The sequence below is a fragment of the Homo sapiens genome, chromosome 10 (assembly GCF_000001405.40).
Source record: "Homo sapiens chromosome 10, GRCh38.p14 Primary Assembly".
NCBI classification, from domain to species: Eukaryota; Metazoa; Chordata; class Mammalia; order Primates; family Hominidae; genus Homo; species Homo sapiens.
Window position 1 is genome coordinate 22,853,750 of NC_000010.11, and position 14,900 is coordinate 22,868,649.

Consider the following 14,900-nt stretch of genomic DNA (forward strand, 5'->3'; position numbering starts at 1 on the left):
ATATGGTAGTCCCCTCTTATCCTCATGAGATGTGTTCCAAGACCCCCATTGGATGCCTGAAACCATGGATGGTACCAGATCCTATAGATATTGTTTTTTCCTATACCTACATACCTATGATACAGTTTAATTGATAAAGTAGGCACAGTAAGAGATTAATAACAGTAACTCATAATAAGATAGAATGATTCTAAAAATATACTGCAGTAAAAGTTGTGGGAATGTGGTCTCTCTCTCCAAATATTTTACTGTTCTGTGCTCACCCTTCTTGTGATGATGTGGGATACCACAATGCCTTTGTGATGAGATGCAGTGAGGTAAATGATACAGACATTGTGACGTAGGGTTGGGCTACTATTGACTTTCTGACGATTAGGAGGACCATCTGCTTCAGGTGAACCTGGATCATCGAACCATAATTGATGGCAGTGACTGAATGTCAGGAGCAGATGCTATTGATGACTAATGGGTGGGTAGTACAATGTGGATCCACTGGACAAAGGGATGATTCATGTCCCAGGTGGGATGGGGCGGGACAATTCAAGATTTTATCACCCTTCTCAGAATGCTACCCAGTTTAAAACTTATAATTTGTTTCTTTCTGGAATTTTCTGTTTAATATTTTTGGACTGTGGTTGACCTCGGGTAACTGAAACCACAAAAAGTAAAGCTGTAGATAAGGGAGGACACTATAACAAACTGTAGACCAGGAAGAAGAAAGATGCCTGAAAAATAATAATGGAATGAAGAAAAATAAATCGTTAGGCAGTAATCCCTACCAATATAAAGTCAAATCAGACCAAGAAGATCAGGCCCTCCAGGAGGCCTCTGACCCCTAAGCAAATGGCTTTCAATTTAGAGCAGAGTTTGTTCAAACTGGGGTTTGAACTCTATTTTTAGACAATTCTCTTAACATGTAACCCCAAATATTTATATTATAGCTAAAAAGATTGTACCCTGGTGAAAAAAATAGCTGAATTTAAATACACATATATACATACATACACACATATTTACACACATACACAATCTTGCCAATTAAAGATGCCAATTTAATCAACTCTTGGCTTTCTCTTCATAATGAACAATCTCGAGCCCTTACTTTTTTGCAGAAGTCCCATTTTCTAATCCTGGTTGACTTTAGGGATAGAATGTTCTCCAAGTTCTCCATGCCCCTTAATTCTAGAACTCAGGAATGGACACCCTGCTCCTAGAAAAGTTTGACTAGTACCATGTATAATGGGAGGGTGATCTCATGGTTCCTCTGGGGACTTGGTTTTACATCCTGGCACTGTTCAGTCTTTAAAAAGCTGCTGTTATGACTGACTCCAGCTTATCTATTTTCATTGCTGGCTCGTTTTAAGACATCCTTCCCTGTAGCCAGTCACATCTTATCTTCTATTTGTATACTTCACTTCCCTCTCCTGGAGGGACTCCTACCCTGCATTTATCTTCAGCAAACTTTAAAAAGCATCCTGACCACTGTTCTAATTTAGTAGGGTTATTTTAAACTTTGCTCTTCACCAGCGGGCTGAGGCTGGTCTTCCCACTCCTCCATTGAAGCAGTGACTAATGTGCTCTGAGTTTCCTTCATGCCAACGCTGTGTTTGGGGATGTCTGTTTGCAAACATTTCAGCCTGAATTTTTCTCTGCTACTCCTGCGGCCTCCCTGTGCTGGGAGCACTTCTGTGGAGGTCAGGCCTTGGTCAGTGTCGATCCTTGTTCCTTTTGGCCTTTATCAGTTAAGAGAATCAGCTGGGTGCAGTGGCTCACACCTATAATCCCAGCACTTTGGGAGGCCAAGGTGGCTGATTCACTTCAGGTCAGGAGTTCAAGACCAGCCTGGCCAACATAGTGAACCCTCGTCCGTACTAAAAATACAAAAATTAGCTGGGCATGGTGGTGTGTGCCTATAGTCCCAACTACTTGGGAGGCTGAGGCAGGAAAATTGCTTGAACCCAGGAGGCAGAGGTTGCAGTGAGCTGAGATCATGCCACTGCACTCCAGCCTGGGCAACAGAGGAAAAAAAAAAAGAGAATAAATTCCCTAATATTTCAAACCTTAGGTCAAACGTCTGTAGATGTTAATGTTGAGGAGGACTATTTCTAAATTAACACACAGACAACAAGAACTTAATCTTTTAGATCCAAAATCAGCACCCGTACTATTATTATTTTTTTGGTTCTTTTATATATTATATATCCCAGAGACTATGTCTGTTTTGTACTGCAAGAGCCGGTGAAATGTCTATCCTTTTTTTTTTTTTTAAATAGACAGGACCTTGTTCTGTTGCCCAGGTTGGAGTGCAGTGGAATGATCACAGGTCACTGCTGCCTTGAACTCCTTGGCCCAGGTGATCCTCCCGCCTCAGCCTCCCAAACAGCTGGGACTGCAGGCATGTGCTGCCATGTCCAGCAAATTTTTAAATTTGGTGTCAAGACAGGGTCTCGCTATGTTGCCCAGGCTGGTCTTGAACTTGTGGCCTCCAGCAATTCTCCTGCCCCAGCCTTTGGAGTAGCTGGTACTACAGGAGCACCATTGCACCTGCCTGGTCGTAATTTTTAACTCAACCATTCCAGAGGGTAAGAGTATCATTAAATAGTGAAAGAAAGAATGAACGCAAAGTCAGAAAATGCAGGAAAGGATGCACAGAGGCAGCTACAAATCCTCCCTCAAGCCAGGACTAATCCCTTCCTGTCCAAGTTCCAATGGCTGATGCTTCATCTTTCTTCCTTTCCTCTGGTCTACATGATTTCTCTGTAAATGTTGTTACAAGCATTTGCATCTAAATCTTGTTTTCTCTATGAAACTACAAACCTGCAGAGGGAAGTTCCTGATGGTTGCTAATCTATCTCTATTTCACTCACAGTATTTTACCTAATGTCTTAAAACAGTCAGTGCTCAATAAAGATTGGTCACAGCGGCTCATGTGTGCCATCTCATCTCAATGCTTTGGGAGGCCAGGCAGGAGAATCGCCTGGGCCCAGGAGAGCCAGACCAGCTTGGGCAAGAGAGTAGGACATTGTTTTTTGAAGGAAAAAAAAAAAAAAAAAATGAGCCAAGCTTGGTACACACCTGTAGTCCCCACTGTGTGGGAGTCTGAGGTGGGAGGATCACTTGAGCCTAGGAGGAGGAGGCTGCAGTGAGCTATGATTGTGCCACTGAACTCCAGCCTGAGTAACAGAGTGAGACCTTGTCTCAAAAAAAAAAAAAAAAGAAAAGAAAAAATTTGGCTGGGTGCAGTGGCTCATGCCTGCAATGCCAGCACTTTGGGAAGGTGGGGTGGGCATATCATTTGAGGTCAGCAGTTTGAGGCCAGTCTGGCCAACATGGTGAAAACCCCCCTCTACTAAAAATACAGAAACTAGCTGGGCGTGGGGGCATACACTTGTAATCCTAGCTACTGGAGAGGCTGAGACAGAAGACTCGCTTGAAACCAGGAGGTGGAGGTTGCAGTGAGCTGAGATTGCACCACTGCACTCCAGCCTGGGCGACAGAGCCAGGCTCCATCTGAAAAAAAAAAAAAAAAAAAAAAAAAAGTTGACTGAGTGAACAATGAAAGAACACATGCAATTTAAGAAAGTTTAGTCCCAAGTTGATTTACTGTTTTGGCAAAGTAATTTAATTTTAATCGAATTCTCTTCTAATTCAAAACTTTAATTGATTTAAATAATAATAAGATGAAAAATAACCAATTTGAAATCTAGAGACACAGACTGGCAAATTGGATAAAGAGTCAAGACCCATCAGTGCGCTGTATTCAGGAATCCCATCTCACGTGCAGAGACACACATAGGCTCAAAATAAAGGGATGGAGGAAGATCTACCAAGCAAATGGAAAACAAAAAAAGGCAGGGGTTGCAATCCTAGTCTCTGATAAAACAGACTTTAAACCAACAAAGATCAAAAGAGGCAAAGAAGGCCATTACATAATGGTAAAGGGATCAATTCAACAAGAAGAGCTAACTATCCTAAATATATATGCACCCAATACAGGAGCACCCAGATTCATAAAGCAAGTCCTGAGTGACCTACAAAGAGACTTAGACTCCCACACAATAATAATGGTAGACTTTAACACCCCACTGTCAACATTAGACAGATCAACGAGACAGAAAGTTAACAAGGATATCCAGGAATTGAACTCAGCTCTGCACCAAGCGGACCTAATAGACATCTACAGAACTCTCCACCCCAAATCAACAGAATATACATTCTTTTCAGCACCACACCACACCTATTCCAAAATTGACCACATAGTTGGAAGTAAAGCACTCCTCAGCAAATGTAAAAGAACACAAATTATAACAAACTGTCTCTCAGACCACAGTGCAATCAAACTAGAACTCAGGACTAAGAAACTCACTCAAAACCACTCAACTACATGGAAACTGAACAACCTGCTCCTGAATGACTACTGGGTACATAACGAAATGAAGGCAGAAATAAAGATGTTCTTTGAAACCAATGAGAACAAAGACAAAACATACCAGAATCTCTGGGACACATTCAAAGCAGTGTGTAGAGGGAAATTTATAGCACTAAATGCCCACAAGAGAAAGCAGGAAAGATCAAAAATTGACACCCTAACGTCACAATTAAAAGAACTAGAGAAGCAAGAGCAAACACATTCAAAAGCTAGCAGAAGGCAAGAAATAACTAAGATCAGAGCAGAACTGAAGGAAATAAAGACACAAGAAACCCTACAAAAAATTAATGAATCCAGGAGCTGGTTTTTTGAAAAGATCAGCAAAATTGATAGACCGCTAGCAAGACTAATAAAGAAGAAAAGAGAGAAGAATCAAATAGATGCAATAAAAAATGATAAAGGGGATATCACCACCGATCCCACAGAAATACAAACTACCATCAGAGAATACTACAAACACCTCTACGCAAATAAACTAGAAAATCTAGAAGAAATGGATAAATTCCTCGACACATAGACTCTCCCAAGACTAAACCAGGAAGAAGTTGAATCTCTGAATAGACCAATAACAGGATCTGAAATTGAGGCAATAATTAATAGCCTGCCAACCAAAAAAAATCCAGGACCAGATGGATTCACAGCCGAATTCTACCAGAGGTATAAGGAGGAGCTGGTACCATTCCTTCTGAAACTATTCCAATCAATAGAAAAAGAGGGAATCCTCCCTAACTCATTTTATGAGGCCAGCATCATCCTGATACCAAAGCCTGGCAGCGACAGCACCAAAAAAGAGAATTTTAGACCAATATCCTTGATGAACACTGATGCAAAAATCCTCAATAAAATACTGGCAAACCGAATCCAGCAGCATATCAAAAAGCTTATCCACCATGATCAAGTTGGCTTCATCCTTGGGATGCAAGGCTGGTTCAACATACACAAATCAATAAATGTAATCCAGCATATAAACAGAACCAAAGACAAAAAACACATGATTATCTCAATAGATGCCGAAAAGGCCTTTGACAAAATTCAACAACTCTTCATGCTAAAAACTCTCAATAAATTAGGTATTGATGGAACGTATCTCAAAATAATAAGAGCTATCTGTGGCAAACCCACAGCCAATATCATACTGAATGGGCAAAAACTGGAAGCATTCCCTTTGAAAACTGGCACAAGACAGGGATGCCCTCTCTCACCACTCCTATTCAACATAGTGTTGGAAGTTCTGGCCAGGGCAATTAGGCATGAGAAGGAAATAAAGGGTATTCGATTAGGAAAAGAGGAAGTCAAATTGTCCCTGTTTGCAGATGACATGACAGTGTATCTAGAAAACCCCATTGTCTCAGCCCAAAATCTCCTTAAGCTGATAAGCAACTTCAGCAAAGTCTCAGGATACAAAATCAATGTACGAAAATCACAAGCATTCTTATACACCAATAACAGACAAACAGAGAGCCAAATCATGAGTGAACTCCCATTCACAATTGCTTCAAAGAGAATAAAATACCTAGGAATCCAACTTACAAGGGATGTGAAGGACCTCTTCAAGGAGAACTACAAACCACTGCTCAATGAAATAAAAGAGGATACAAACAAATGGAAGAACATTCCATGCTCATGGGTAGGAAGAATCAATATGGTGAAAATGGCCATACTGCCCAAGGTAATTTATAGATTCAATGCCATCCCCATCAAGCTACCAATGATTTTCTTCACAGAATTGGAAAAAACTACTTTAAAGTTCATATGGAACCAAAAAAGAGCTTGCATTGCCAAGTCAATCCTAAGCCAAAAGAACAAAGCTGGAGGCATCACACTACCTGACTTCAAACTATGCTACAAGGCTACAGTAACCAAAACAGGATGGTACCGGTACCAAAACAGAGATATAGACCAATGGAACAGAACAGAGCCCTCAGAAATAATGCCTCATATCTACAACCATCTCATCTTTGACAAACCTGACAAAAACAAGAAATGGGGAAAGGATTCCCTATTTAATAAATGGTGCTGGGAAAACTGGCTAGCCATATATAGAAAGCTGAAACTGGATCCCTTCCTTACACCTTATACTAAAATTAATTCAAGATGGATTAAAGATTTAAATGTTAGACCTAAAACCATAAAAACCCTAGAAGAAAACCTAGGCAATGCCATTCAGGACATAGGCATGGGCAAGGACTTCATGTCTAAAACACCAAAAGCAATGGCAACAAAAGCCAAAATTGACAAATGGGATCTAATTAAACTAAAGAGCTTCTGCACAGCAAAAGAAACTACCATCAGAGTGAACAGGCAACCCACAAAATGGGAGAAAATTTTCGCAACCTCCTTATCTGACAAAAGGCTAATATCCAGAATCTACAATGAACTCAAGCAAATTTACAAGAAAAAAACAAACAACCCCATCAAAAAGTGGGCAAAGTATATGAACAGACACTTCTGAAAAGAAGACCTTTATGCAGCGAAAAAACACATGAAAAAATGCCCCTATCACTGACCATCAGAGAAATGCAAATCAAAACCACAATGAGATACCATCTCACACCAGTTAGAATGGCGATCATTAAAAAGTCAGGAAACAACAGGTGCTGGAGAGGATGTACAGAAATAGGAACACTTTTACACTGTTGGTGGGACTGTAAACTAGTTCAACCATTGTTGAAGTCAGTGTGGCGACTCCTCAGGGGTCTAGAACTAGAAATACCATTTGACCCAGCCATCCCATTACTGGATATATACCCAGAGGATTATAAATCATGCTGCTATAAAGACACACGCACACGTATGTTTATTGCGGCACTATTCACAATAGCAAAGACTTGGAACCAACCCAAATGTCCAACAACAATAGACTGGATTAAGAAAATGTGGCACATATACACCATGGAATACTATGCAGCCATAAAAAATGAAGAGTTCATGTCCTTTGTAGGGACATGGATGAAACTGGAAACCATCATTCTCAGCAAACTATCGCAAGGACAAAAAACCAAACACCGCATGTTCTCACTCATAGGTGGGAATTGAACAATGAGAACACATGGACACAGGAAGGGGAACATGAGACTCCGGGGACTGTTGTGGGGTGGGGGGAGGGGGGAGGGATAGAATTAGGAGATATACCTAATGCTAAATGACGAGTTAATGGGTGCAACACACCAACATGGCACATGTATACATATGTAACAAACCTGCACATTGTGCACATGTACCCTAAAACTTAAAGTATAATAATAATAAAATAAAATAAAGGAATCTAGAGATAAAGATGTTTGGGTAGAAAGGGGAAACCTTTGTGGATTTTCTTTAAAAAACACTCAAATCAATTTTCATGAATGAATGTAAGGGGAAGTCATATGCCCACCTGCCTCTCTCAAACCTGGACAGAATGTTTGCAAATATCAAATAGGAAGCTCCAAAAGTTCCCCATAATAGAAAATCAGTGAGAACAGTATGTCTGGATCCTACCAGACATTTCTAAACAATATCATTATTCAGAAAAAAATCATATGCAAGAAAGTATTTCTGGATAAAAGAACACATTAAAAATGAACAAGACAATTTGGAAAAAATTAGATTGAATTAAACATGTAAATGTGATACTTTGTTATACTGTCCTTACACATGCAGAATCACCTAGACCAGGCTAAGAAAGTGATTGTTTGCAATAATGATGATTACAGATACTACTAATTCCTGTAAATAACCCTTTATGTGTCCAGCAGTCTAATCCACTGTACCCAAAAAGATGTAGCAGTATCATAGAACTATTCAAATTTACAGCTTTGCATTTTCTCTACAGAAGTTATAAAATGACTAAAGCAAAATGAATCTTCAACATTTCGATGGAATAAATGGCAACATATAAAACGTAATCATCTGCTCAACTACCTATTTTAAGGTAGTTTAACACATTAACTAAAGATTCACCTGTGTTTCTCATGTTATGTGGAATGCAGAATAAAGGAAGAAGTAAAGATACTGTGAACTACGGCCTCCTGCAGGACCTCCCAGTGGCTTCTTTCTACATGTTAGCTCACCAGGACCCAGTCCTGAGCTTCTCCAGCCAGACCCAAGAGGAAGGCAATAAACCAACCTATTGTCTGGTTGGGTCTGAAATGATTTCTGCGATTATAGACCCCACAGGTCTAAAGAGGAACATGGAAATTGACTGCACACTGACTTGCAAAACACTCCTGCCCCATAAAGAGTTGGACCAGCCTAAAGAACATCAATACTAACAAAGAAAATATAAACCCTTCCCCAATATTAAATACAACTACTATCACTTGTTGACATGTTACTGTTAGGCACTATGCTAAATGCTTTATATATAAGATCACATTTAATTCTTCACCACCACCTTACGGGGGACATTATTATTCCCATTTTATAAATGGGGAAACATGAGATTGCAGAGTATTAAATGACTTGCTCAAAATCGCCCAGCTGGGAAGCGGTGGTGCTAGCACTTCAAACCAGAGCTACTTGATTTCCAAGCCCTGGCTGCGGCCATCCCTTAGGAGATAGAACCCGCACCTTGGTCCTTTTACACTGTAGCCCTGACTTGAACCCCAAACTGCTTGGCAGAAAACTTGGGATCCTGCCCAGTTCTCATCAGCCCCCTCTGTATTTCCCTAATGTGCTTGGTGGAAGAACTTGAAGGTTACTCTTCAAAATAGTTTGTGTGGGGAATGGTAAATAATAAAAGGTAACGTAGAATGAACGAATACCATGTGCCAGGCGCATGCAAAACTTATCCCACTTGATCCTTACAAATCTGTGAGCTAGCCATCATTATCCCCTCTTACAGATGAGGAAACAGGGTCAGAGGGGTAAAATGCTATGCCCAAAGGTACACATTTATTCAGTTTAAGAGCCAGGATTCAAAACTGTGTTTTCTCCTTTTAGAGTCTGTGTATTTGGACACTACAGTATTCTTACTCTCAGTCAACTTGATTGTACATGGTCTGTGATCATTTATTTGTTGACAGTTCTCAGATAAATCACCTTCCTTTAAATTAAAAAAGAAAAATCATTTCCACTTTCCTTTAAATTAAGAAAAGAAAAATCACTAACAGGTTTTTTTGTTTGTTTGTTTTGTTGTTTTTTTTTTTTTGCCTCCGGGAATAAAGCAGCTTGAAAATAAATGACATATATTAGATAGTAGGTCTTGGTTTCTAAAATTTAATAGTGAGGCAACACATCTTTGTAGACAAACCATTGCTTCTTACAAAGATAAGGGTAGAAAGATACAGAGGAAAAAATCACTGTAGTGCATGATCTCAATTTCTTCCACAAGAAACCAGATCTGGAGAGATTAATATGTCACCAAATAAAATAAAGTAAAAGAAAAATGGAGTAATTAAGGATCACATCTCCAGTTTCATATAACACAATCATACTACATGTAATAGTTCCCTATTGACAGAAATATGCTGTCATTTACTGCCAGGGATTATCTCTTGACACAATATATTTTATAGAGTTATATTGGAAAACAAGTAAAAAAGAAGGAATCCTGTGATTCACATATTGGAAAAATCTTGATATAAGTATGGTAGCTCATCAGCTAGATTAGGTTGTCGATGTGTTTTGTGAGATGTAAACGAAGTGGAATTCCCTTCTGATGCCACCAGTACCATCTTCCTCTGTCTTTCAGAATTAGATTTGCATTTGAGATTCTTCACTGTGAAGTAACTCTGGTCAGGGAGCATGTGAATACTCTCTGTGCATAACACAATCAGGGTATTTCTTTGCAAGAAATAAAGACAAAATGATGTAAATGAAAAAAAAATGAACTTGTTCACTTGCCCCAGCACATCCTAAATCTGTAGGCACTCAAACCCCTTCAGTCAAGAACTGCATAAACTTTCATGGATTCCTGTATGTATTTGCTTCAGAGCAGATACTGTGAGGTGGGATAGTTGGGGAAGGTGCATTCCTGTTCCCCTCTGACAATGATGGGCAGGGGCAACAAGTCCGTCCTGTCTATGGGCAGCAAAGCCCATCTACATGAGAGAAATGAAGTAACTGGAGAAATGAAAAGATCTTTCCTACAAATTTCCTCTCCCCAGGACAGAGCTAGAGCTACATATGATGAGTCCAAAAGAAGCCATCCATTCATAGGTGTCACATACATGTAAAAGTACAATATGTATATAAATATACACATTTACATATACAGATCTATTGTAAGAAATTGACTTACATGATTACAGAGGCAAAGAAGTTCCAAGATCTGTACTTGGCAAGCTGGAGACCAGGGAGAGCTGATGGCATAGTCTTGGTGCAAGTCCAAAGGCCTGAGAACCAGGAGAGCTGATAGAGTAAGTTCCAGTCTGAAAGCCAGCTGGCTTGAAACTCAAGAAGAGCTGATGTTTCAGTTTGAGTCTGAAGGCGAGAAAAAGACCCATGTTCCAACTCAAGCAGTCAGGCAGGAGGAGCCCTCTCTTACTCAGCCTCTTTGTTTTGTTCAGTCTTCAATTGATTGGATGGGGTCCACTCGCATTAGGGAGGATATACTGCTTTGCTAGGTCTACCAATTCAAATGCTAATCTCATCTGGAAACACGTTCACAGACACACCCAGAATAATGTTTGACCAAATGTCTGGGCACCCGGTGGCCCAGTCAAGTTGATACATAAAATTAACCTAATGTATGCTGAGGGGCTAGCTAACAAATGCCTGGAACAGATGCCTTTTGGGTTGATACAAGAAAAATAGACTTTAAATTCTCAACCTAAGAGGCTCTAAAAATTAACTAGTTAGCATTATGTAACTATAGGTATTTCATCAGTCTATCTGCTGTTTCCTGTAATCAGAGAAATTTCCAAAGAATTCAGATGGGCTTTACAAGTAGAAAAGGAGGAATCCTATGATTCACATACTGGAAATATCTTGATATAAGTATGGTAGCTCATCTTCTAGATTAGGTTGTTGATGTGTTTTGTGAGATGTAAATGAACTAGAATTCCCTTCTGATATCACCAGTACCATCTTCCTTTACCATTCAGATCAAATATTAAACTCGGGTTGATGACTTTCATGACTTCCAGAAAATGTACCATTCATTTTCATTCCTCCTCTCTCCCTGATTTGACAGTCTCATTTCTTTCCTCCATCTCTTATCTTCCCCAGTCTTTTTGTTCTGAATATTATAGTTAAGTTGAATATCAACTAAAATTTGTTAGACAGTGTTGCTACTTTCAAAGAATGTTTGTCCTATAAATGTTGAATCTTTGAGTATTTCCAATGACTGTTGAATGTAAAATGGTTAGTGTTACATATAAAAAGAACAAAAATTTTGAGAGGCCAAGGCAGGAGGATCACTTGAGGCCAGGAGTATGAGACCAGCCTGGGCAATATAACAAGACCCTGTCTCTACAAAATAAAAAAAAAAAAAGAAATTAGTCAGGAATAGTCCTAACTACTCAGGAGACTGAGGCGAGAGAAATGCTTATGCCCAGGAGTTCGAGGTTGCAGTAAGCTAAGATTGTACCACTGCACTCCAGCCTGGGCGACAGAGTGAGACCTTGTCTCTAAAAAAGCAAAAACAAAAACAAAATGCTCTCACTGCAAACCCCTTGCAGTGAAATAATTCATTTTAGAGTGAGGATTAGAATCTCTGCAAATGGGAGAATGCTTAAAGGCAATTGCTGTGATTCGTCCTTCACTCTTGCTTACTGTGCCCAATTTTCTTAAACTTCCATTGATAGATGTTTCCCCGGTGACTGTCATGGAAGAAATGGTAATTTTCCTAAGCCTACTTAAGCACTTCTAGTCTTGACTTGAGTCTAACACTTTTGGGACAAATTTTGATTTTTCTAGAAATAGTATGTAACTAGTTTCAAGGTTTGCCAATAACTGGGATATACATCAAATACTGTGTATCTATGATTATGCTTTTGTTAGTGTGCTATTACATAATTAGCAAATTTTAGATTCCTATAATAGTCAAAAGAGCGCATATTTTAATAATGTGCCTATGATATGGCCCACAGAATATCATAATTCTTAAAGAGATACTTGCCTTTGTGCTCTTTCAAAATTTATACAGTGAAAAGTCAGCTCCTCTGGCTTCTCAGCTGTAAACCACTTAACAAATCCAGAGTGAATTTTAAAAATGCCCACCCTTCTTTCTGAAGAGCCTGCTATAGTGCCAGATTCTGCTGATGGAAGAATGTTTTTCACAGCTTGAATACAAATTACGGAAAAGTACACAACAGAAAGCAGAAATATTAGACAAAGGGGAAGACTCTAAACCCAAGAAAGGTTCTTTCCCTTTGCCGTGGTGGTTCTGCACTCATGACTGACTGAATTGAAACTTTTCAGATTTGCCCATTATTTTTATTTTTTTATTTTTATCTTTTTTAGAGATAGCGTCTTGCTCTGTCACCCAGGCTGGAATGCAGTGGCGTAATCATAGCCCACCGTAACCTTGAACTTCTGGGCTCAAGTGATCCCCTCGCCTTAGCCTCCCAAGTAGCTAGGACTACTCCTGGCTAATTTTTATTTTGCAAAGATAGAGTCTTACTGTGTTGCCCAGGCTGGTCTCGAACTCCTGAGCTTAAGTGATCTTCCTGTCTTGACCTCCCAAAGTACTGGGATTACAGGCATGAGCTACTGTGCCTGGCTAGATTTGTTCATTTTAGAAGTGTTACTTTTACTATTTTCAACTTGAAAACATTTTACACTATTCACAGTTAATTAAAAAAAAAAGTCACGTATAATGTGTATATATTTAAGCCAACTTTACAAATCAAGATTGGTAATTATTCTTTTTCCCCCTAGAATATAAAATATTCTGTGATATTGCTATAGGAATTGAAAATATCCATCAGGTGTGAGTGTGTGAGGCCAGGATCTACAGTAACTAACTTCACACCCAGTCTAGTGGGAGAGTTAGAGACATTAGGACCATGCTGTTCAAAAGAAGATAATGAGAGCCACATACATAATTTCTAATTTCCTAGCAGCCACATTAACAAAGGCAAAAAGAAACAATTGAAATTTAAAAAATGTATTTGATTTAACCCAATATATCTGTACTATATGGTTTCAACATATAATCTATATAAAAATTATTAATAAAATATTTTACATTTGTTCATACTCTGTCTTTAAAATCTAGTGTGCATGTTATGCTTATAGCACACCTCAGTTTGGATTAGCCACATCTCAAGTACTCAATAGCTACATGTGGTTGGTGGGTACCATATTGGATAACACCAATTGGATTGGACACAATCTGCTTCTTAGACTTTTGTTAGACAAATTAGATGATGGATTTTTTGTTTTGTTTTGTTTTGTTTTTTGAGACGGAGTCTTGCTCTGTCACCCAGGCTGGAGTACAGTAGCGTAATCTCAGCTCACTGTAACCTCTGCCTCCTAGGTTTAAGCCATTCTCCTGCCTCAGCCTCCTGAGTAGCTTGGACTACAGGCACCTGCCACCAAGCCCAGCTAATTTTTGTATTTTTAGTAGAGACGGGGTTTCACCATGTTGGCCAGACTGGTCTTGAACTCCCAACCTGAAGTGATCCACCCACCTCAGCCTCCCAAAGTGCTGGTATTACAGGTGTGAGCCACCGCGCCCAGCCAGATGATGGATTTTTAAAATGTGAACCTTTTACTGATGCATAAAAATATACAGAATAATGCATAAATAATAAGTGCATTTTGATGAGTTTTCACGAAGAACATAGCTGCTTAACTAGACCCCAGATCATGAGATGGAACATTAACAGAGGCTCCCTTGTGTTCCCATTACATTTTCTTTTGATATCACAAATATCAAGACCTTGCTTTTCTTGCCTCCCACTCTATAAAGCAGACTCACTTATACATTAGGTTGGTGTGAAAGTAATTGGTGCACATTGAAAGCCAGTGCTTTGGTTTTCAGGGCAGTTCCAATCCTGGTCATGAATCTGCATTATGGATCTTCACAAATTGAAGAAACCCTCAAGGGGCCACGCCGGGAAAGGCAAGTTGAAAGAGAAGGACATCCCTGACTACTTAATAAACTGGATGTGTGTGTATTTCTCTTGGCTCTCATTTAGTTTCGAATATAGGGTGATGTAATTCAAATACCTTCTGAATCTGCTTTCTTTCTCCATGTGGTCATTAAATATGAGTGGAGTAAGAATGAGAAAATAACTCTCAGTTATATCAACTTCTATGGGATGTTGCAAAGCTGTGATCATTTTTGATCAAGCAAAGTTTTCTCTTGGCCAAAGAAGAACTGGGTATACAACATACACTCTATAAGTACAGTGCATGGCTAGGAGGGTGAGAGATGGAGCAAACATCCAAGCATTTCATATATTTTTCTAAAAAAAAATTTTGGAAAAGAAACTCAGGTTTATAGATGTAGCGTCTTTCCAGAGCTGCAGAAAGGGTGAGAGGCCGGCATGCGGTGGCTCATGCCTGTAATCCCAGCACTTTGGGAGGCACTTTGGTGGAT

At 39.4% G+C, this 14,900-nt stretch overlaps 1 long non-coding RNA gene across 1 annotated transcript; it reads left to right on the forward strand.

Annotated features, from left to right (window-relative positions):
• Positions 1–350: 350 nt before the first annotated feature.
• On the forward strand, positions 351–14,475 carry LOC105376451 (uncharacterized). Its single transcript, XR_930749.3, has 3 exons — positions 351–469; positions 10,660–10,767; positions 14,340–14,475. It is a non-coding gene; the product is annotated as an uncharacterized LOC105376451 (long non-coding RNA).
• Positions 14,476–14,900: the final 425 nt, after the last annotated feature.